At 38.9% G+C, this 24,559-nt stretch overlaps 1 protein-coding gene and 1 pseudogene across 55 annotated transcripts in view, besides 1 other annotated feature; one reads left to right on the forward strand and one right to left on the reverse strand.

Moving 5' to 3' along the window:
• MBNL2 (muscleblind like splicing regulator 2) overlaps positions 1-24,559 on the forward strand; it is a 252,287-nt gene that overhangs the window by 213,404 nt on the left and 14,324 nt on the right. For 18 of the 55 annotated variants that reach the window (NM_001382656.1, XM_047430010.1, NM_001382653.1 and 15 more), the window contains one exon: positions 2,245-2,398. The exons of 1 other annotated variant lie outside the window; for it this stretch is intronic. In NM_001382656.1, the coding sequence (NP_001369585.1) occupies positions 2,245-2,398 (154 nt within the window). Of the gene's footprint in view, positions 1-1,558; positions 1,613-2,244; positions 2,399-9,898; positions 9,935-11,221; positions 11,317-22,512; positions 22,613-24,559 lie in introns of all 55 variants that reach the window. 36 more of the 55 variants (NM_001382649.1, XM_047430009.1, NM_001382650.1 and 33 more) reach the window with 11 other exon arrangements.
• Positions 4,483-4,552: a silencer, noted in NCBI's record as "silent region_5450". NCBI's record gives its function as "represses an Ori minimal core promoter by ATAC-STARR-seq in GM12878 lymphoblastoid cells {active_cell/tissue: GM12878}" and the evidence as "EXISTENCE:reporter gene assay evidence [ECO:0000049][PMID:35858748]".
• On the reverse strand, positions 7,735-7,864 carry RNA5SP37 (RNA, 5S ribosomal pseudogene 37; annotated as a pseudogene).

Genomic DNA, 24,559 nt, shown 5'->3' on the forward strand with positions numbered 1-24,559 from the left:
CCGTTCTAAATCTCTTCTCTGCCTGTAGTCCTTTCTACTTGATTTCTAGTCTCTTCCCCTCCATAGCTCTCCCCTTATCCCCTATTATCTCCATACTTTTTATCCTGAATTATAAAACAATAATAAACATCCTTTATTTATCCAGGAAAATGTCATTAACTGTTTCCCATTTTAAAGGTTTAGTACTGTCTCATGTCAAATGACAAAGTTCTATTTCAGAACTTTAGAATATAATATTTGTATTTATTAGAGAAACCTTAGGGACTTACCTATTGTGCTAAGCATAGAAAAGGGTATTTCATTTTTTATTTGCATTGGAGCAATTCCTTTGAATTATTTTATTTGCAAAGAATTCCATCATAGAATTTTTAGTTTTTTTTTTACAACAATTAACAAAGAATAGGAAAATTTTTCATTGTGGTCTAAATCAATCCATATTTGTTTTTATTTCAGTTGTTTAAATGAAACTGTCTTCCCAAAATTATGGTTCAAAGTTAAAGATAGTATTTTACTTCTAATCTTTCAAGCAGTTCTTTGCTATTATTTTTAGCTGTTTGCTATTTTTAGCTGTTGTATTTGTTCTTTCCAAGAGTTCCACTTTTCATTAATGGGGTTGCTCACTGATTGTAGCTAAAAGTACAAATAGAATTACTAAATAGAAATTATTTTGATAGCTGGGGACACTACATACCTTTTAAAGGTTATTTTCTTAGTATAATCCGGTAAGTTTTTTGAGATAAATGAAATGAACATTTCAAATGTAGTAGAAAACAGAATGGATGATAAGTTGGTTGTTAGAAACAAGATGATGGAATACAAGTGGGGAATTCTGGAAACTCACTATTTAAATTCAAGGCACTAAATTTGGAACTTTAGTCCACATTACAAGACTCGCACTAGCAGAGTGAAGACAAGAATTGAGACAATTATCCACATGATTCAGACAAAAAATAAAGATCCAAACCCAACAGTTTCGCCTAAATAATCTTGTGTTTGAATATTTTTTTGCCTGAATTTTTTGTCTCAGTTCGCCACTTCATTTTGTTAGGCCAGCTATGAATTTTAAATTATTTTTATGAAAAATTTCAACTTGGGTCATATCCTTACTCGATGGACTCATTATTTCATATTTGAAAACTAACTTATCAGAAGTTCTTCGATCCTATGGCCCTTACAAATTTTGCATTTTTTTTTCTGAAGCAATATAAAAAATGCTTATGGTGTGTATGCAAGCTGCTGTTTTAATTAACTTTCCTGAATTTCAAACATCTATATTTTACTCTCTTATATGCTTTTAACTAAGGTATAGTAGATGCATTTTTGCTTCAATACTAATTTAAGGTGTAATATTCATTTCTTTAGAGAACATTTTTGTTGTTGTGCATGCCTAGTGTTTTGTACGTTGTATATTGCATTCAGAATATTTTTTTCCTTCTCACCTATCCACAATGCAATGCCGTTCCCATGATGCACCTCTGCTTGCTGTTTACCTGTATGTTAATTCGCTTGAATCCCATTGGCCCACTGCCATCATGTGCTCGCTGCCTGTTATTAAAAGACTCAGTCGACTGCCAAAGCAATGAAGCGACCTCTCGAAGCAACTGTAGACCTGGTACTTTGACCTTTCACCTTTCGCTTTGCATGTAGCTTTTCAGAGAACCATCTGAGATTTGTATTACTTGTAAAATACTGGTTGCAAACAATCATTATTATTAATTTATGGAAAAAATCCAATAAGGTGTTTAGCCATCTCATTCTCATATGTAATCTGTGAAATAAATTAATCCTAACAAATTTTAATACCTTTTCCAAAAGAGTGAAGCAAATTTAAATTATTTGACTCAGAAAATGTTCATTATAATTCGTATTAACCTTTAAATTCAAGAAATTGCCATTTAGTTAAAGAAAAGAATAGGTATTAATAATAACACCAATGCTTCGTCCCCCCTTAGAATAGTTTAACTCATTTTAAAAGCTGAAGCCATTTTTTTTGTTGTTGTTGCTTGATAGTTTTTCTTTTCCTTAGTTGAGATGCTACCGTTTTGGGTTACAGAAATCATGCTTTCGCTCTCAATAACAAATTCTCACTCATTCGACATTGCCGCTGTTTAAATTAAGGTGCATGGCAGAGGCATCTCCTTAGCTGTCATTTTTAAAAAGAATGTTGCAATTGATGATCTCTGTGAACATGGAAGGTGTGTTTGCTTTAAGTTAGACATATCTTATCGAATTCTTCATTTCTAGGCCTTTCCCCCTGGTGCTCTTCATCCTTTACCAAAGAGACAAGCACTTGAAAAAAGCAATGGTACCAGCGCGGTCTTTAACCCCAGCGTCTTGCACTACCAGCAGGCTCTCACCAGCGCACAGTTGCAGCAACACGCCGCGTTCATTCCAACAGGTATGTGCCCTTACTGCCCTACGTCCTGTGCCCTTCTGGTCATGTGCTTTCTTCTCATTTCTCTAAGCTGTTTGGTGGCATCTAGTTTGCTTTTGAAGGTATAATACAGTTTGAAATTCATCGTTGTCCTAGCTATCTAAATGTATTTACCTTACTTTGAATGATAGCTAAAGACTGTTAGGATTCTAAAGCCAAATATTTGATAGATTGAAGAGACAGATTTAACCCATGAGAAACAGCAGTTAGGGCTTTTGGTTTCTTGTATTTGCACAAGCCCTGTAAAATTGTTTATGTAAATAAGACCTTTTATGTGTGACAATTGAAATTTGTCCTTAACTCTGAATGACCTAAAAATAGCAATTCCAGTAAATACTAACCATTTTTTTCTATTTCTATTCAGAGCACTAAAACAATGAGGCTATTCAAATTAAAGCAATTCTCTACTCATATTTTTATATTCATTCTATCTCTTTCTCCATCCTTCTCAACTTTCACCAAGTTCACAAGTATATAGAGCTCTTATCCTCAGTGTCTAAGCCAATGCCTGATACTATTACGTACGATGTGCATTAACTATGATTCCACTAAAAGATCCATTGTAATAGTCATAGAATCTTAGAGTTTAAAGGACTCTTAGTGATCTCCTCATCCAGCTGATTGTTTTACAGATGAGAAAACTGAGGCCCCCTAAATGAGAAGTGACTTTCCAAGGTGCCACAACTAATGAGAAAAAGAACTGAGTTTCCCTGTGACCAAACCCATTTACATCACATTCTACCACCTGGGCCCGCCTATATATACACATTCCACAGAGTTCTCCTGAAAAAAGAAAAAAGCAGATAAAAGTGAATTTTTAAATAACTGACCCCAAAAAGTCAGATAAAAGTAAAAAAACAAAAGTATAAATCATGTCATCCCTCCCCCATTTGCACCGACATCTCTAACCACAGACACACACACGCACACCATACGCAAAGATAGTCACCATAATTGACCATGTTTTTCACCTTTTAGTCAATGTTAGAAGCAAGGGGTAACTTAAGTCCTGGTGGGAAGACCATCCATTGAGTTCTTTGAAAGTCAACATTTTTCAGCCCACGATAGTGAAATGAAAGTAAATATAAATGAATAACAATTCTAACAAAAAGAGTTTTTTGATTCAAATCCATTAGTTTGAACTTTTCGAGCTTATTATCCATTTCCTTAAATCCCATAGCTTATCAGAGTTAACATCAGAGGGAGGTAAAATATTTCTGTGATATTCTTTGTATAAAATCTACACTTTGAAATGGATTAGTAACCTGTGAACAATACATATTTTAGTTAACATATAAATTATGTGAGCAAAGTGGTTTTCAGTGTTTTTTTCTTATTTTAGTTTTGAACCTGTCTTAAACTCACAGACTTGTAGAAGAAATCTCTAATTCAGTATTTATTAGGAGTTCACTTTTGCCCTATTACAGCCTTAATTAGTGACATCCCAGTGCTGTTACAGCATAGCAGTGTCTTAATATGTAATCTAATTGAAATAACACATTTGTAAAATAATTACTAGAAGGTAAACTTACGTTAATGTCCTGTGTGGTTTCTACAAAGTGTGTCATTGTAGACCTCTTGGCCACTAGATATTTTAAGATAAAAAAAAAAAAATTAAGGAAGAATATACTGAGGGGAAAAACGTAAAAGGAGAAGCCTGTTTCTGAAGAATGGATGTTACTGCCATTACCATGTCCTGGGAATACCTATGAAGCTCTGGTGCTAAGCCTGCCAAAAGAATCTGAAGCCCTCCAGCACATGTTTAACTCTCAAACCCAACAATGACTGATTTGTTAAATCACTGAAAGAATCATCACTTTAAAATGTTTCACCTTTTAAACATTTTAAAGCAAGGATAAACATTTCCAAAGCAAGGATAAACAACATCCCTTACGCAACGACCTGATTTTTGTTGATGAAATGTATCTCATGAAGGACCCATACGGCTACATTGGCTGCTGTGGTTGTGTACTTCCGCCCTCTGGTGGATTCTTTAAGAACAGCTTAAGTGTGTCTGGCAACCCTCAATACAGTGGGCTTTGGAAGCCAAAAAGTGGGTCCTAGCGCACCAATACAGTGACTAGAAGGGTTTCCATTTCTTACATGACATGAATATCAGAGTGAACAAGCATGTGGATCTAGTGTTCTGAAATGGTATTTCAACTGCTAAGAATTTTCACATTTCTCTTAAATGAGGAAAGAGAAAATAATTTTATTAAAAGGAAATTAAAATAATCTTTCTCCCGCTTAAACCCATACCAGGAATTTTATTGTTCATTTTAGCTTAAGTTTTTGCTTCTGATTTTCTTTCTTATAAACCCATTTTCAACTTTATTTCTAAAATGATAATGGTAATAATCAATCATTGTTCATCATTGTTGGTTTGAAACCTCTGCAAATCAAGTGAAGATGTTCAAAAATAATTATTATAACTTGGTACATAGAGGACCCATTACTTTTAAATGAACAGATTTTGATTTTTCTATAAATGTTTTACGTAAACATAAATATGAAACAAAAATAGCATTTTTGTTTTAACCATTCATAGTTAAAGCTTTTGATATGATACTAAAATTCTCCCATTGACACAATGTGAATTTGGATTTTAGGAATTCTGCCTCCAGGTTGCAAAGATATTAATATAAAATTTTATGCAAAATATGAGAGTCTTCTCCCAAACTATGCTAAGATAATTATTGCCCTGCTTGATGGCCTAGCACATTTGCCATGGGTGGGAGTTTTCTTTTTTTTTCTTTTTTCATTGGGATTATTTTAACCAAGTAGTTAGACTTTTTCTTTTCTATGTTAGGAAAGTGGCAAAACCACACACACTTACAAAAATAGCAGCATAATAATTCTTGGCATTTCTCTGACAGGTTTATTCTAAGTTACTGTAAGTGTTCTTATAGACATTATCTCATTATTCTTCAAGATGTTGCAGTTCTGTTAGTGGCAGGCACGGTTATTTGCATTTTGCAGATGGAAAAACTGAGGCTGTGTCTACACCGCAAAGTGGAACTACCCAGATAATTCTGGCTCACAGATACGACAGCTGAAATATTTGTGCAACTGAAGCAGAAAACATTTGAGAAGTCTTTGTTCATAGAATTGGTGCCTAGTGAAGTGCTTCAGCTGATCAGAACAAAGGCAACCCACAGAAGCCTTCCTTGATTTATTTCATTATACTGGAAGTACAGAATAAGTAGAACAGGGGACAGTGCCCAGATACAGCCTAATTATGAGAAACGTGTAAATGTTACATCAGATTATCACATGACTTGGTGAAAGATTGATCAGTGTTTAGTGGCATCTGTATCTGCATAAGCACAACAAAATTTATTCCATTCAATTCATTAAAACATACCTTGAACCCGTGGTATGTTCTGGGTTCCAGAGCCAGTAATGAGAATACAAAAGAGTTCATAAAGAGGTGAAAACCAAATATTATACAGAGGATGAAGGAGTACCTGAGGGTCTGGGCAAAGCTATTCGAGAGTGAAGGAGAGGAGACAATGAATTCTGCCTTCAGCATGTGCACCAGGTGGTGGTTACGAAGGATATGGAGAAACAAGACTTTCTGAAGTAGGAGAAATTTGCCTAGGAGTTTGAAGAGAAGCAAGATTTTATCAGTGGGGGAAAAGCATCCCAGTTGGGACATGGGAAGAGTGTACTTGAAGAATAGAAAATTGTCCATTGTAGCTATAACATGAAGTACATACAGGGTATATGCAGAGAGTAGAGGATGGGAGTGTTGTACAAAGGCAGAGATGGGGCTTGCTAAGAAGATCAGGACCAGAATCTGGCATTAAGGGAGCCACACATGCATAAGTTATGCATTTCCAATATCACATCACTATTAGGCCACTTAGAGAGAGAGGCTCATGGAATTAATTTGGTTAAGGATTTCAGCCACATCCAGGACTGAAGCCAAAGTAACATGACTGATCCTAGCCCAGTGTGGCTACAGGAGCTGTGGATTATTTGCAATCCCAATGATATTCACATGCATGGCACAGCAAAGCTCTCCAAGACACCCCCCTCCACACTGGAATGAAAGAAAAATAAGAGCGGATTTTTATAGGCGTAATTTTTTTTTTTTTTTTTTTTTTTTTTTTTGAGACAGAGTCTCGCTCTGTCACCCAGGCTGGAGTGCAGTGGCATGATCTTGGCTCACTGCAACCTCCGCCTCCCGGGTTCAAGAGGTTCTCTTGCCTCAGCCTTCCAAGTAGCTGGGGTTACAAGCGTCTGCCATCACACCTGGCTAATTTTTTTTGTATTTTTCGTAGAGACAGGATTTTACCATCTTGGCCAGACTGGTCTTGATCTCCTTGACCTTGTGATCCACCCACCTCAGCCTCCCAAAGTGCTGGGATTACAGGCGTGAGCCACTGTGCCCAGCCATTTTTTTATGAGTACAAGTTGAGTGCCCCTTGATCCAAAATGCTTGGGACCAGAAATATTTCAGATTTTGGATTTTTTTTTCAGATTTTGGAATATTTGGATTACATTAACAGTTGAGCATCCCATATTTGAAAATCTGAAATCTGAAATGCTCCAAGAAGGATTTTCTTTGAGGGGTATGTCAGCACTCAAAAAGTTTTGGATTTTAGAGCATTTTGGATTTGGATTTTCAGACCTGGAATGCTCAACCTGTACTATGAATGAAAAAGTAGAGTTCAGTGAGATTAAAAATAGAAACTGACTTGATGGCATGGGGAGGTAGGTAAAATAACAATTGAGCATTTTCTAAAGAAGTGACATATACCCTGAGATCTGGAAGATGAAAAGAGTGGGGTGAAGATTATTCTAGGCCAAGGGGACAGCTTGTGGGAAGTTCAAAAATAGGGCAAATGTGTAATGTGTTCAGTTCAAAGAAAAGAAAAATTAATCTGTCTGGAGCATGGTGCCAGGGAGGTGTAAGATGGCCTGGGGAGGTAGTCAGAGACTAGACCACACGGGACCTTTATCCTAAAAGCAATGAGAAACCACTGAATGGTTTCCAGCAGAGGAGTGGCCAGGCCTGCATTTGGAAAGATCTACTCTGCCAGAAGCTGGAGAATGAACTAAGGAGGGACGAGAATGGAAGCAGGAAGACCACTTAGGATGTTATCACATAGCCAGCCTAGAGATAATAGTGACCAGGACTTCAGATGTGGCAGTAGTGATGGATGAACAGATGAATGCAAGCTGCATGCTAGAAGCAGGATTGCTTTGGCTGATTGGTCAGCTGGACCCAGGAAGTTCACAAGGGGAAGGGGTGTGAGGCATAACTTTCAGTTCGGTCTAGAGTTCTAGTTAGATGGTGATGCCCATCAGGCATCTTCTGAGGTGTAGAAAGTTTCTCCCATCCAAGTACTAACCAGGCCCAACCCTGCTTAGCTTCCGAGATCAGACAAGATCTGGCGCCTTCAGGGTAGTATGGCCATAGACCGAGGTGTAGAAAGTTTCTGTGAGAAAGATCAAAGTTTGTCCCTGTTACATTTGAGACACTTATGAGACATCCAAGCAGAGAGGTGAGGAGGGCAGTTAGAGGAAAGGACCTGGAACTCTGAGAAGAGATCTGCGTGGGATACACAAACATGGAAGCTCCTGGAATCCAAACCCATGAAGTGAATGATACACCACAGGAAATGTAGCGTAGATGAAAAGGACCCAAGACTGAGTCCTGAGGAACTCCAGCATAGAGAGGGTGAGGGAAGGAAGATCGTTCAGCAAAGTAGACAAAGGGAGTTGCCAGAAAGAAAAACTGTGTGTGTGTGTGTGTGTGTGTGTGTGTGTGTGTGTGTGTGTGTGATCAAAAATCTAAGGGAAGAAAGTGGCTTCCGATGGAGGGAAGGGCGGAGTGCTGAATGCTGCTGAGAATTAGGAACAGTGAGATGAGGACAGGAGAGTTCCTGCTGGCTGCAGCAATATGGGATTTTTCTGTGGATTGGCATTCACAATTTAAGTGCAAAGGTCAAATGAAAGCCAAATTGAAGAGGAATGAAGACTCAGTAGGGATAGGGAAGTAAACATTTATGTGTAGGTAGATTTCCAGAAGTTTGATTGTGAAGATGAGAGAATAGGGCTGGAGAAAGGTTTAAGTTGGATGTATTGGCACACATTTGTTGAAGAATCTGGCAGTAGCCCAGTTAAATAGCCCCCTCCTGACTAGGTCATGTTAGCTTGATCGAAATGTAGTTCAGGCAAAAAGTCGCCCTCCAGCGTGAACAGCTCCACAGAGAGAATAAAGACCTACACATCTCAAATTCTCCAACTAATATCTCAGAAGTCAGTTCTGAAACTCTAAGAGGGCACTCCTACATTTACGAGAAACTACTTCTCAGGCACCTACATGACACCCAGTCTTCAGTGATCTAAATCCATGTATTACCTTGTTTTTCATGGAACTGAACCAGTAGCAGATAATTCCTCAAAGCTTTCAATACAGCTTTCTTTCAGTTCTCCACAACATGCCTGAATATAATATTCATGGTCAGAGTCATGATGCGTGTATGTTATTATGACCACCACAAGTAAGACAGCTATTTCTAAGAAAGGGTTGAAATTGCCCCTCCCACCTCCTACCTCCCCACTCAGATGCCAACTTGAGATTTCCTAGGAGTTTTGCCAGAAATCCCCCTCAGGGATCACTTTGTAGTAGTCATGACCAAATTCCTTAGCCCTGGTCCTAACTCAGCCCCAACTCTGCACTATTTTGCTCTACAGTGTTTAAGCTTTATTGCCAGGCACTACTCCTTTATCATAATGAATCTTACAACAGAGAGAAGACCACGTACTCATACAGGTCATTCCCTGTAAGAACCTCAGTCTTCTTAGGTTATTGGGCTTTCAAGCAGCAATCTAAAATTCACCCATCCTGCCCTGCAAGCTTCTGATTTGGAGAATATCTTAAATCTTAAACACTGTTATTTTCATACCGTTGGTGACACAAAACATTTACAGTCAAACAAACAAGTAAACGTTTAATGCAGTAAGTTCAGTGTATTCTAGTGAATATAAAAGTTGACCTGGATTTACGAAGAGAATTCTATTTCTAGCCTTCCCCTTGACCCACACCATGCATGGCCTTGGAGGAGTTACTATGCCTCAGATTTTTCATCTGTAAAATACCTACTTCCTACCTTGGAGGATTAACTTGATAATGTCTGTAAAATACTTTGAGGTCTTAGAGGAAGGACACCACGGCATTATCACATGTCATTCTTATTAGAATCATGTCGATGCATATGAATAGAAAGTGTGAACAGTGGTCTAAGGAGTGAGCTTGGAATAATACTGGCTTAAAATAAGTCAGATATATTTGTGTCTGTACTGACAATGTGAATGGCCCTAAAAGACTGTGTTAACTAACCCTACTTATTTCTGGTTGTGCTTCAATCTCACTTTGAATGTTAACTCTAAACCGCTAACCTGTTTCTTTCCCTTTATTCACTTTTTCCACCCACCATTGCATGACATCAGGGTCAGTTTTGTGCATGACACCCGCTACCAGTATTGGTAGGTTTCAACCTTTTTTATTTGTCTTTTATATGATGTACAATACCTTCACTTGCTTGAAATTTATTTCAGAGATGGTAGAAATGCTATAGGAAATAGTAGATTTGAAGGCTTATTTGGCTTTAGAGTTAACATATAGGTTTTTAAAAATGTACTTGTATATTTAAGAAAATGACGGTTTTAATGTGACCTCTTGTGCTAGAACAATCACTACAAAAACATAAAGCCACAAGTACGAGTCTGCTTTTTAATGATTTGTGTTTTGTTTCTCTTTATAGTTTATATGGTATAGCGTAAGGAACAGAGCTTACTCTATCAGCGAGGCAGGCTAATTTCATCAATGTTTGAAAGTTTCATAGTGGTGTGCCTTTATCTCCTCTTTGCTGTGTGTTAGAGCGATCAGAGTTTCCCAGAAGTATTCATTTTTTACAAATTATAAATGGATGTATTTTGAAACCGCATGTCTGAGCTTCCTAACTTAATTATCTTTTCTAATTTTAAGTGCTGATTTATTTGGGATGATTTTTCTGCACCTCAGCATTCCCTTAGCCGTTCAATTTTAATAGCAGATAGTTGTCCTCACACACATGAATGCCTTGGTACAAACGTCTGTCTTTAGGACATATGGATTAGATCTATTTAGAGTCAAGAAAAAGAAACATTGCAAATTTTGCCTGGCTATTTCAGAGTAACTGTATTAGAATTTGCATCAAGGCTATGATGTTTGCTCCATCATTTATTGATTCAAATAAACCACAACCCACAGCAGTTGCATTTCATATAAGCAGTCCTAAATTGAAAAAAAAAATTCAATTTAACCATAATTCCAAAGAACATCCTATCCCAAATTAGGTCTCCATATGGAGACTTGGATGTCTCAGAGTTTATGATTAAAAGTGATGATCACATATTCTTACTTCACTGGACATCACCTTTCACAATTTTAGAAACAACCATTATTGCATACACTGTATACACTGAATTGGGAATGGATCTATTGTTAGAAATAAAATGTTTATAAATACATCAACCAAAGTAATCTGCTTTGGCCTTTCTGGGAATCACTGATTATGTTTTAAAACTTCCTTTAATTGTACTTGTAATAAGCTATTTTCCCTTTTTTATTTCTCTCCCATGCTTCCTTGCTTTGCATTGTGATTGCATGCCATCTGCTGGTTTAACCCATGATGGCTTGCTGCTCTGATATTCACCATGCCAAAATACCACTTCTATTACCATAATGCTACACCCTCCTGTTCATTGCTCCCATGGTTCCCCTCCTGAAAGTACCCATGATGCACAGCGCTACGTCCGCCACTGTCTCTGCAGCAACAACTCCTGCAACAAGTGTCCCCTTCGCAGCAACAGCCACAGCCAATCAGGTTTGCTCCTTTTAAAGCTTTCTTTCACAAATCCCAAACTCTAAATGAGTGCTGATATTTAAAAAAAAAATTCTCGGTGAGAATTTTTTTTTCATGTTTATCCATCAAATTTTATTTTTTTAATTAGTTTATAGCAAGCATTTACAGACAGGTTGCACTTATTTAGAGTTAACATTTACTGCAAATAATGATGTAGCTATGTTTTGTGTTGCACTGTTTGTTTTCGTACCTAATATTGTGTAATTAACCTGACAGGCTTAAATTCCTTTTAGTACAGCATTACCTATCCAGTGGTTTGTGAATGGCCACATAAAAATTGTAGACGCGCACCCATGGGTGCTTCAAAACTGGCTATATTTTAATTCGGTTCATTCAGACCCTATCATCTGTGTGGAGGAAAAAAATCTCCTCTTAGAAAGAGTCATATTTGAGGCCTAAGTGTCATATTTGAGGTCTGAATAATTCTTATGATCATTTGACCTCAGTCTTAGGTTCTGCCAAACTCACTTGGTTCCCACCTTACAATCTGCTCCAATACTGGCCTAAGAGCCAAACCATCCGGAATGAAGAGTCATGGGTGCCGCTGAACTCACAAAGGCTGGATATAACTGATGAGGAGCATTTAACTCTGTTGGTTTAATGCATGTGCCAGTGAGACCATGGATGTACTATTTCGTAGTGACAGCCAGCTGCTATTTCCTACTCTGTGGTCACAAGCTGATTGTATCCGTGACCCTAGCCTCCCAACTTGCAAACATGTGCTCCTAGCCACAAGGAGACAGCGTGAGGGTGAGTGAGCAGAAACTCTCACCTCGCCTGGAAGAATACTTCATTGCGCATGCCCTCCCTTCACAGAAGAACAATTTTGGTTTGGTTTTTAGTTTCATGGGTTTTTAAAAATAAAATCAGCTCTGCTAATAAAAGATGACAAGGGATAAAAGAAATTAGGGGAAATCGTGTTGGGGGATCACGGCAGTCCCAACCCGCATTCTGCAGGCTGGGAGGGCTGAGTCATGCTGCTTTCCACATTCAAGTGAATCCACGATTCCAGCTCTGCAGATTTCATCCCTACAAAGAGAGGCGTGAGTGGACAGGAATGCAGGAATAAAAGTTAAACCCCGTGACAGTGCTGACTGTGGCCTCAGCATTGTGACAGAGCAGGAGAGAGCAGAGAGTGGGGGAGGGAGGGGAGGCCGAACAGCAGTGCAGAGGCAGGTGTCAATCAACTGAGGACGATTCTTCAGCAATTCACTCCCACCTCTAAAATGCCAACCGGTCCTCTAAGGAAAACCAACCCAGCTTCGAAACAAACAGAACAAAGAACAGGCAAGGATTAGTTCCTTAGCTGGGAAGATGATGATGATGATTATTATTTAATGTGGGATGGGAGAAGGGAGTGAGACTGTTTGCATCTTTCCATTATTAGGTCCAAAGCTCTTCTCAATCACTCATTCTTAATAGGGAAGCTGGATACCTGTTTCTTTCAAGTCTGAAGTCCTGCCTCCTTGAACTATGTTTATGTGATTTTTGACCCAATTTTTATTACAAAGTCCTTTTATAAGAAAACAAGTTTGGACTGAGTGCAGTGCCTCATGCTTGTAATCCCAGCATTTTGGGAAGCCGAGGGAGGAGCATCACTTGAGCCCAGGAGTTGGAGACCAGCCTGAGCAACATGGTAAAATCTGGTCTCTACAAAAATATGAAAAAAATTAGCCAGGCACGGGGTGCCATACACTGTAGTCCCAGCTACTTGGGAGGCTGAGGTGGGAGGATCGCCTGAGCCTGGGGAGGTCGAGGCTGCAGTGAGCCATGATCATGCCACTGCACTCTAGCCTGGGTGACAGAGTGACACCCTGTCTTAAAATAAAATAAAATAAAATAAAATACAAGTTTGAAGTATAATATAGCAGTATTTGTTACAGTGAAATTCTATATGATAAGTTTAGCCTTTTGGGCACTTAGAGATCTTTTTTAAGAAAGGAAAAGAAGCCAAGATAAAGAAATAGTTTGGAGTTGTAGGATAAATTATTTTAGCATAATAAATATTTGACCATGTGTCATATATATTGTTCAAGCCTAGTGATTCTTTGGCTCCATTTAGTAGAAAAAAAACTTTGAGAGAGAGATTCCATAGGTATATTCAAGTTTGTGTGTGTGTGTGTGTGTGTGTGTGTTCGTGTCTGTGTATGTGTGTGTGTAGGGAGGCAGAGGTTGGAAGCATGGAATATTCAGAAGCTAAAATATATCACTTTCAGGAAGGGTGCGAGTGGAAAAGGAAATAAGTTGAGGTTTCAACTTCTTTAATTGCAAGCATAGCTGAACTCTGATTTCAATTTAATCCAAAGAAATGTAATTAAAGGAGTACCTGACAGTAGCTTCAAGAATCCTATATTCAGTGTTTTGCAGTTTATCAGATGTAATAGTTGCTGCTGGATTGCACTTAAATGATGAAGAAGAGAAATCCTTTAGCAGCTCTTGATGCAGGTCTGCTTGCAGATAAAAACCATGGAAAAATAAATAATAGTGAACACAAATTTCCAGATATGATATTCTTTATGTATTTTCAATAAGTTTCAAAGAGCAAAGCATCAGCAAAAGACCTTGGCAATTATTTTAGCATCCAGTCATAGGAAACCCAGGGCTTGGTAATGACTGAAATAACAAGTTATCATCTTGTTAAGATTTCACTCTTTAAACTCAAATAGAATCATACCCACGTGGATTATGTAAGTCATTTAAACATAATGAATCTCAGTTTCCTCATTTGTGAAAGGAGGAGTAGAACTAGATGCCCCTGGAGTCCCTCTCAGCTCTGAGATTCAGTGAACCAAAGGTTCAGTGACTATTATTTTAGGCCCAAAGCATGAGATTACAAAGATAAACACAAACAGAATGAAAGTGAAACTAATGATTCCAGAGTTCGATGACCGATAAGCACCCTGCCTTCTTTTCTGTCTTTAACACAAAATATAGTGGGATTTTGACAGATTTTTTGTTAATTTGATCAATTCAGACTGTCAGTTCAAATATTTAAAATCTCACAGGCATTTGTAATTAGATACAAGTCATTGATTGAAGAAAGAGGATAGATGAAAACATCCCATGACAGCTTCTTAGGTCTAGTGCTATTTACACATTACCCCACGGGGAGCCAAGCTGAACAAGCCACTCTATCCTCAGGCTGAATCAAGGTGCCACCAATAAAAGTTTTCACTGAATTTAGACTGGTGGTTTGAGATTAAATAAAGACAGAATCCAAATATGTTTGGGAAATATAAAATGTTTTTTGATTATTTAGCTTTGGGAGCAGATAAGGAAACAAAAATACAACAAACAGATTTACTAAGCACTATTTTCTGTTTCAGTTAAGGTATTTGGGCCTTAATAGACAAATTATACCTAATAGTAATAATATTATTATTATAAACCTCTTATTATGTGCCAGGTATGATTCTAAATGGTCTCTCTCATGTAATATATTACATATCATCATATATTCTATTATATACTATGTAAGACAGGATAGTTACGTATAGATGTAGACACTCAATTCTTAACAATAGTTTTATGACATGGGTACAATGATCATCATCCCATTTGATAGATGGTAAAACTGAAACAAAAGTTAGCTACCTCAGCCAAAGTCAGACAGCTTCTAAATGGTCTTGCTGGAGTTGAAACTTGGCTCCAGAAGACTTGCTTTAACCATGATGGTATACTGCCTTAGCAGCTCAAGCTAAGATGAATCTTACACTGGAGAGATGAGCTGGATTTGAACAGAGCTTTGAGCTAGTTATGTAAAGTAGCCAGGTCATCTTTAGAAACCATATAATGGGCCAGGCGCAGTGGCTCATGTCTGTAATCCCAGCACTTTGGAAGGCCGAGGTGGGCAGATCACCTGAGGTTGGGAGTTCGAGACCAACCTGACCAATGTGGAGAAACCCTGTCTCTACTAAAAATACAAAATTAGCCAGGCATGGTGGCGCATGCCTGTAATCCCAGCTACTCGAGAGGGTGAGGCAGGAGAATTGCTTGAACCCAGGAGGCAGAGGTTGCAGTGAGCTGAGATCGCGCAATTGTACTCCAGCCTGGCCAACAAGAGGGAAACTCCGTCAAAAAAAAAAAAGAAAGAAAGAAAGAAAGAAACCATATAATGGACCTTATTATTTCAGTGTAATAAAATAACCAGTGAAAATTATCAATAATTTTTATAGAAGTAAGATAACCTAAGAAAAAGTTAGTCCTTTGTCTTAGGGAAACAGGTTCATGGGTTTCTTTTGTCATAGACTTTGTTCCTAACCTCTACTAATCATCTCACAAATAGCTTGTTAACAAAAAAAATTGGTTGGGGGGGAAATGATAGGTAGCATGTAAATTAGTCAATCTGAGTCCATTGACCAAGGACCAGAATATGTAAATCTGTCAAAGATGCCTATATTGAAACAAATTTAATCTTAGAGTGTACATTAGAAGAGGTAAAGCTTAGTAATGGATTACCTGCTTTTTCATATGAAAATAAATTTTAATAAAATGAGAGTGCAGAGTAAAATTCCTGAACTTGAATTATTATAATATTCTAAGTTGTAATTTGTTTAGTATTTTTTATTTCAAAGTTACATTCTATTTCAAAGGGAGAGAAAATAATTTTCAAATAAATATACTTTAAGTTTCTTCATTTATAAACAGATCATTTAATTTACTTAATCACATTCTTAAAGGCACAATTAAAATACAATTTATACTCCGAATCTTTCCCTGAACATCTCTCTCCTCCTCCCCCAGCAAGAAGTACTTTCCCTGTCCTCTGAATTCTACAAGGACTTTGCACATTCCTTAAGGCACCATCATTAAATAGAAAGAAAGACAAATGCAAGTCTACAAAGAAAGCTGGGGAAGTATCAAGTTCAGCTGGAGAATAACTCCCATTCAGATTGATCAGAGCATCCGTTTGTGGGAGCGGCTGCAGCGTAGGTTTGATTCTGATTGATTGTGTGGTACCTTGATGCCAAGTTAAAGGGTTCGGCCCTGACTTGGCCACTGAAGGATTTTCAAGCAGAATAGTGATGGAAACAGTACTCTAGGAAGAGTGAGCAGATGGATTCGAGGCGGGAGAGTCTGTAGAGGCCATTAAGAGGTTTTAACAAGAGCCTAAACTGGGACAATGGCAGCTGGCAAGTGGCCTACTTTGTCTTGCCTTTGCCCATTACAAAGGGAGGTTACTTTTAGCAAAAGAGAAACATAAAAATGATTTTGTACTATGGCAAAACCTGTCTAAATAAATGTCACATGGTAGAAAGAGAGATTGAGGCTGATGTGAAACTCAGTCCCTGCCAGCACAGCAGTTGTGTGGCCTCGCTGTTTGGACACATGCAATGTGCTCACCTTTCACATGGGCCTTCCCATTTCCTACCTAAATGAGACTCAGAGCCACAAAAGCTCACCCTACCTCCAACCACAGGCTTCTGCTTAAAGGAAAGAGTCCCCTCAGGTGTAGAGTCAATGCATATTGTCCATGTCTCCAAATCAGAGCTCTATGGACAGTGAACAGATTATCCATCTAATTCATTCTGGCCCGTGAGTCCCTGCTAGGGAAAGAGATTCTTACATATTAATATTGGGAATCTTTTTACGGAGCATCACAAGAAGTGCCTTAGAAGCTAACGAAATCAGATTATATTCTGGGCAATATGTTAACCAACACTTAATCACATCTCCAAAAATGATCATTCATGTTTAATATTATGACCTCAAAGTCTTACCACATCTTCTGAACTCTCCTCCAAAGATTAAGTACATTCAACAGAGAGTTGGCCTTAGGAAGAATTTATTGGAAATTAGTTGATAATATGTCATAAAGGTCTTACCACATCTTCTGAACTCTCCTCCAAAGATTAAGTACATTAAACTTAATGTACTTAATTGGCCTTAGGAAGGCCTTACAAAGTTGGCCTTAGGAAGAATTTATTGGAAATTAGTTGATAATATGTCATATACATACAGCCCTCTATTTATATTTGATAAATTAGAAAATCTCATTTTCTAGACTTACCTGACATAGTTTTATTATATATGATCATCAATTTCAATGATATCTTATCAGAAAGATAACATGTAACCAGACATATATTATGTTTTATCTGGCCAGCTATAAAGTATTGAAGAGGGAAGAGAAAAGCTTGTTTCTCACCTATAAACATGAACATAACTTTAAAGTTATTTGTATATGGGTTCTTGGATATATAAATTAACCTATACTAACCAAGAAGTCTAGAAAGGTAAGATCGTGTTTTATTTCATCTCTCATCTCAGAGTTTTATAAAACATCTATTATTCAATGCCATCTGTCTGGACTATATTCAGACAAATGTAGGAGGCATTAAACATTCCCCACTATTCACCACTTGACCCATTTTGGGGCCTGCATTTTGTTTCACAAGAAAAATCTTGGTTCAGCAAGGCCCCAGTGTGGGAGGAGTAGGATCCTGTCCTCTCTCTCTCCTGAAATACATGGTAAAGTGGCCAGCCTCTATGGATGGCTGATCAAACTGTGAAATACTCCTTTCTCGCAGTTTGCTTGTGCCTGGGAACAGATTACAGAAAGCAGCTGGGCCCCACGTATGTTGTTCTCCAAAAAAGCAGAGACAGCAACTGTCAGAATCCAGCCCTTGTAAACAGTAATCAGGGCCGAGACATCTCTCTCTGCCTTATGCTGCCTAAGTCGTTTAGCCACCTCTAACTTTTTGCTTACATTCTAACTGTAGAGGGGGGATTCAGGTTGGAGAATGGATGTGGTTACTTCAGATGAGGGAGAATTGCCATATCAAACATTTTGTAGAGAAGGCAGGAGAGAGAGAGAGAGTAGAGAGAGAGAGTGGAAGGATTGAGATTGAAACCTGCACAATTTCTTTGTGTAAAAAAAAAAAAACTATAAAAATTGCAGCATTTGCATTCAGTTAACACTATTCGTTAAAGCTCCTTGGCAGTTTGAGGCTGAATTCCACTGTATGCATGGCTAAGGATAGCACAATCCAGACTTACTTAGTATGCTAAAAATATATATATATATATATATTAAGGGTAGGAGGAGGTTGGGGGATACTCTGTCTATCTTAGGTGGTCTTGGATCTATGAGAACAATATAGATGCACATTAATTTTTCTCTTCAAGAAATTAGAAAATAAGTAGACAATAGACTTTTTATTTTCCTGCCTCAGCAGCAGCTGCTTTGCAGGCCTACCCTGAAGTTTAATTAATAAATGCATCTGCAGATTCTCTAAGAAAAGGCTCAGTTATGTAAGTGTTGTAATCTAGTACATTTTCATTTTTCATGAATAATTTACACCTCTTGGTGAGAAACTTGGGTAGAATTCTTTTGTATATAGCACATAAAGACATCATATCAGCTCCAATTCTGTGCAGCTGAAGAGAAAATGTCAAGAGTCCTTATGCGGCACATTCCTGCCTGTGGACGGTCCTTTGCATAACACCTCAAATCCCATCCTCCTTTGCATTTTTTTTTTTTTTTTTTTTTTTTTTTTTGAGATGGAGCCTCGCCCTGTCACCTACGCTGGAGTGCAATGGTGCAATCTTTTTATTTTATTTTTATTTTTTTGAAACGGAGTCTCGCTCTGTCGCCCAGGCTGGAGTGCAGTGGCGCGATCTCGGCTCACTGCCAGCTCCGCCTCCCGGGTTCACGCCATTCTCCTGCCTCAGCCTCCCGAGTAGCTGGGACTACAGGCGCCCGCCACTACGCCCAGCTAATTTTTTGTATTTTTAGTAGAGACGGGGTTTCACCGTGTTAGCCAGGATGGTCTCGATCTCCTGACCTCGTGATCCGCCCGCCTCAGCCTCCCAAAGTGCTGGGATTACAGACGTGAGCCACCGCGCCCGGCCGCAGTGGTGCAATCTTGGCTCACTGCAACCTGCGCCTCCCAGGTTCAAATGATTCTTCTGCCTCAGCCTCCTGAGTAGCTGGGATTATAGTCGCCCGCCACCACGCTCAGCTCATTTTTGTATTTTTAGTAGAGACGGGGTTTACCATGTTGGCCAGGCTGGTCTCAAACTCCTGACCTCATGATCCACCCACCTCGGCCTCCCAAAGTGCTGGGATTATAGACATGAGCCCCTGTGCCCGACCTCCTTTGCAGTTTGATGGGACTGGAGGGGGTCTTTTATAGGCTGAAAAGTCATATTCCCAGTCGTATTTTGGCTTTTGTTGATGGTAGTAAAATCATGTTCCATTTCTCCAATTTTAGGTTTTCTCATTGGAGCAAAATGAATATATAGTTCATCCTATATGGGTGTTTATTTCCAGCTCTAGATTTGTAAGGAAAGAGAGACTAGCTACAGTGAAGGAATTCAGGTCCATTTTCAAGGGATGAACAACGGGCAGGGTTTTCTTCTCTATAAGAGTTGCTGTGAGCGGAATGGAATTCCTACTCATGGGCACTTATCTACCCAAGCTCTGCCCCCGATGCCTACCTTCTCACACGTCTGCCTGCGCATTTGGGGAAGTTGACAGCTTTTCTGTGCAGGTGGATGTGGAGGACGGACAAACCCAAGACTGAGGCTCCACTTACCAAACACATAAGATGCTGCCACACGTCAAAGACACACTGGCATTTGCTCTGGTCTCTCAGCCCCTTCTGGCATTCCTCTGGGGTGACATTGCTGGAGGCAGTGACTCCCAAGGTCAGACTGGACTGGGTCTGCTGACCACTCTAGAGGCCACCAGGTTGGGGAAATGCTAACGATACTTAAGAGCTCACTGCCTAGTCAAAGAGATCTGAAACAAGCAGAGAATGTCATAAAACACCAAGTCCAGCTGGCAAACGTTGCTGCTGGGAAAGTAAGCGCCATGGCATGGCCTCATCCCTGAAGTGTCATAGGTCTGAGGGGTGTGTAGGAATGAGACAGAGAAGGGACAGGTGAGGTTATTCCTGACACCATGACCAGCTGGAAATTGAAGAGGTGGAGATGAGGTAGGGCAAAGAGAAAAGGGAACCCATGCTTACCCATGCACCAGCCATCTGCTTTCCACACGCCATTATGTTAAACCCACCGGGACTCTGTTTCCCTGTTTTACATGTGAAGACGTCACATGTTTGGTCACAGCTCCAGTAGGTAGCAGAGCCTGCCTTTGGCCTCACATCTGTCTGACTTTGAAGTCAATGCTTTTCCCCTTGTTTAACATTCTTCCTCGATAGCATGTGTGGTTTAGAAAGGAACTTCAGAATCCATCTCAGACTTTATATCTCATGATAGAAGAAGAGAGAACAGCTGTGATTGTGTCAGATCTAAAGAAGAGGGGACACTGTGGCTTATGTGAGCCAGCGAGTGGGGTGAGTGGGAGACACCAGGGAGCGTGAAGAGGAGGATATGGTGGGGCAGTCCTAGAAATTGCAGCTGAGTGGATCAGAAGGTCGGGTTATGGAGGGCCTTAAAGTGCAGGATGAGAACAGGACAGGACAGGTTCCATGAGAGGCTTGGAAACTCAAACCAACTGAAAGTGAATGGGTAGAGGTGTGCAGGGACAGCCAGCCCAAGTCAAGCTAACTGGTGAGAAAGCTGCTTCATCGACAAAGTGATGAAACTGGGATAGAGAGAAAAGAGAACATTTGAGGGGAAAAGGGTGAATCATTCTGAAGCAGGGAAATTCAGAGAGGCTCCATGATCCCTGGCTTGCCTTTGCTCACCCAGAGGCTGTTCTCTGACTTCTGTGGTGTCTGTGGATTTCACTGCCTTTCTCCTCTCTGTCACATAACGCTCCTATGAGACCTCTCTCCCATTGACCATAAAAAGGATGGTTCTCATCTATACCCCTTCATTTTGATTTGTACTATAAAGGACAAATTTGTTGACTGGCATTTTCTAACACCAGTTTATGACAAACTATAGCTAATCTAGCAGTTAGAATTCATCATGCTTTAGCATCAAGAACAAAATGTAAGAGCTTTTGGTCTCTTTGTTTTACTTTCGATAATCAAATTATATTATTCCTATCATTGCTCCCCTTGCTCTGGAGTATTCAAAGATCTCAGAGCACATGTCAATGAACTTCCTATAATCTTTACTGCTTGCTGCAATGCATTTCTGGAAGCAGCATCTTTAAGGCGATCATTGTAGAATGTTGCCCATTTTCCCCTGATCACAGGCACATCAGGCATTGTAGGTCTGACTTGAGACCAGCATCAATTACATCATAGATATGAAAGGCAGTAAGTCTTAAGAGCAGATTTTCCACCATCATACCATACCTCTACAAAACATAAAAAAGAAAAATTATGATGCAAATTACATTATAAATTGGAATAGGAGCCCAGATGGGCAAAGTGGCTTACCCAATTCACACACATAGCAAGAGAGCCAGGCCCAGGACCTGATCACCCATGTCCTGCCTAGAACAATATTATTTCCCTTCCCAACACTGCCTTCCTGAGAAAGTGCTTTAACGGATCGTGTAAGGGGCCTTGAACTGCTCCAGGGCATACAGACAGCGACAACATAACTCAGCTACCCTCACAAAGAACCCACCACGTGCCAGACACTGGGTTAAGCCTTTTGTATGAATTATGTCATTGAAACCCAACACGTCCTGTAAGGGACCATTATGATCCCCTCTCTAGCGATGAGGAAACTCCAGTTTAGAGAAGCTGAAGAAATTGCTCAAGATCATACTATAACATTAAGTGGCAAAGCCAGACTTAGAACTTTCCAGAAGCTCCTAATATTTCATATTTCCAATGAGGAAAAGGACCTAGAGTGGTTAACTGACCTTAGTCAAGTTTACATAAGGGATTAGGATAAAACTCAGTCTCCTAATATGCTTAGTCCTCTTTCCCCTCCATCAAGCCGCAATTCAGCTTGAATATGCAGGTTCTACATTTATTTGAACTTTGTTCAATAAAATAAATTTGCTTCCTCCCTACAATTTAGAACAGTTTTTGAGGAATCAAAAAGATACTTGAAGAAGTCAAACCTAATTCCCTCCTTTTCTCCAAGTATTTTTTCCTAGTAATAATTTCATAACAGTTCCATTCATCATTCTTTCAATATTTGTCATTGTTATACTGAAATATGCAAAAGGTCCAGAGAACCGCTTTAGCTTAGAGGATTTAGGACAGAAGGAATTGTTTAAATCGATTCCTATTGTTCATATTCTTTTCTTTGCTTTTCTCTGAACCTCGTAACGTGAAGAATGGCTTTGCACAAGGAAAAAAGTTAAAATAGGGAAAGCGAAGAAGTGTGTAAAGAATGAGAAGAAAAATTCCATTGTATTCCTTTGCCTTGGACAAAGGTATTTAAGAGTTGTTGGGTTGGAGTTTTTGATCAGTTGGTTGAATGGTTTAACGTGAACTAGAAAGCGCCCTCCATCTTTCCGCTGCTTATGTGGAACTTATGTGGGGAGAGGTGAAGGCTTGGAGCTTGAAAGACAGATGTTTATTAGATGAGACTGGATGCACAGAGGTGTCCGTAGAGAGTCATTTACTCTCAGCACACTGATCTAAGAATTATTAATAAACACTGTGCCTTTTCAACATATTCACATTTTGTGGCTTAGACCAGGAAATGAAAATAATTGAAATATTACTATATAATATTACTTAATTGAAACATTACTTGAAAATAATTGAAATGTTATTATGTAATAACACTGGCATTTATCATATGCTTACTATCCCCAAGCACTTGTTAAATACATTATCTGATCCTCACACCAACCCTGTAAGTTAGAAACAATTTTTAATTCCCACTCCAGAGATGAGTAATACTAAGAATAAAATATGTTTACTAACTTATGTATGGTAACATATCTGTTAAGCCTAGAAGCCGGGTTTGAACCAAGTTTAACTTTAAAGAGTGGGAAATCCTGCCCTTCATGGGATGTCAACTTCCTACTGCAGTGGACACTGATTATCATGAGCTGGTGGCTGTTGATGCTTTCATAATAAAATATTTTAGTTTGAAAAATGATTAACATGAATTGACAGTCAATACTTTCAGGAAAAATCAGAGAAATTCGGTTTATACTTTATCATCAGTGACAGTTCAGGAGATACACATACAGAAAAGGAATTAAGTGCTCATATTTAAGAATCTTAATCTCTTCAAAACCAAGTTTATTTCCAACATACGGGGTGCCATACAGATCGTATAATATTTAAGTTAACCATAGTATTATTTGAATGTCTATTTAAATAGAAACTGAAAAAAAATTATTTAGGATTATGAATCCTAAAATAATAGCCTAAGGAAAGAGAAGCAACATTTATCAAAAACCACTATTACATATCAGATGTGTATATACATTATTTCTCTTACTACTCAACATAACTCTGTGAAGTTTCTTATCTATTTTATATAAGTGAGCACATCTTAGAGAATAATTTGCTTAAGATTCAAGCAGGTAGGAAGCAACTGGATCTGTGTAGACCTCAGGCTTGCATGCCTGCAAATCCTGTTCTTTTGTGAACCCACCTTGTTTGAATTAGATTGGAATCTATGGTCAGTGTAGGCTTGGGATGAACCTCTTCATATGACTCCCCTTAAAAACTCCGAACTACTGAGTTTATTGCTTTGAAAAGTTTTGACTAGTTGAGAAGAAAGTTTAGTAGAAGCGAAAACTTTTTAAAGTCCAAGCTCAATATCAGAAATGGTGTGAAAATATTGTTGCTTGGTGAGAATAGCAAGAGAATCCAAATTTCAGTCCAGTGAACCAGAGCTAGAAAGCACTGAGAAAAGGCACCATTCACTCTTCCCAGGGTGGGAAAACTGGCACACAACTTCTGCCTGAAAAGAGTCTATCAAAAAGAGTCCTCTCAATCGAGACTCACTTTTTAATTTTTAACAATAATAATTTAAAAATAAAGATACTATTTTTCTTCACCATCCCCACAGAACCTCACTTTCAAATTGATCTCAGGTAAACGTAACAACACTAGTTGAGGATGAATATTTTAGGCAGCCTGCAGGAGCGACTGTAAAGGGAACAACTAGAAGTTTAATTCAGTTGTAAGTGAAACCACAGAGCTAAATGAGGAAGCAAACGGGGATCTTAATGATGATTCAGATGTACAAGCAGAAAGAGCCAGGGGTCTCACTGCGAAGCCCCAAATGGGAAGGAGAACAGAAAGGGTGGGAGGGTGGGAAAGAAGGAATGGAAGGAGAAAGGGATTCAGGATTGGCAGGAAAGGGGGATGTGGAGTTATTCTCTAACGGGGGCAGGTTTCATTTGGAATGAGGA

This window comes from Homo sapiens, chromosome 13, assembly GCF_000001405.40.
Source record: "Homo sapiens chromosome 13, GRCh38.p14 Primary Assembly".
NCBI classification, from domain to species: Eukaryota; Metazoa; Chordata; class Mammalia; order Primates; family Hominidae; genus Homo; species Homo sapiens.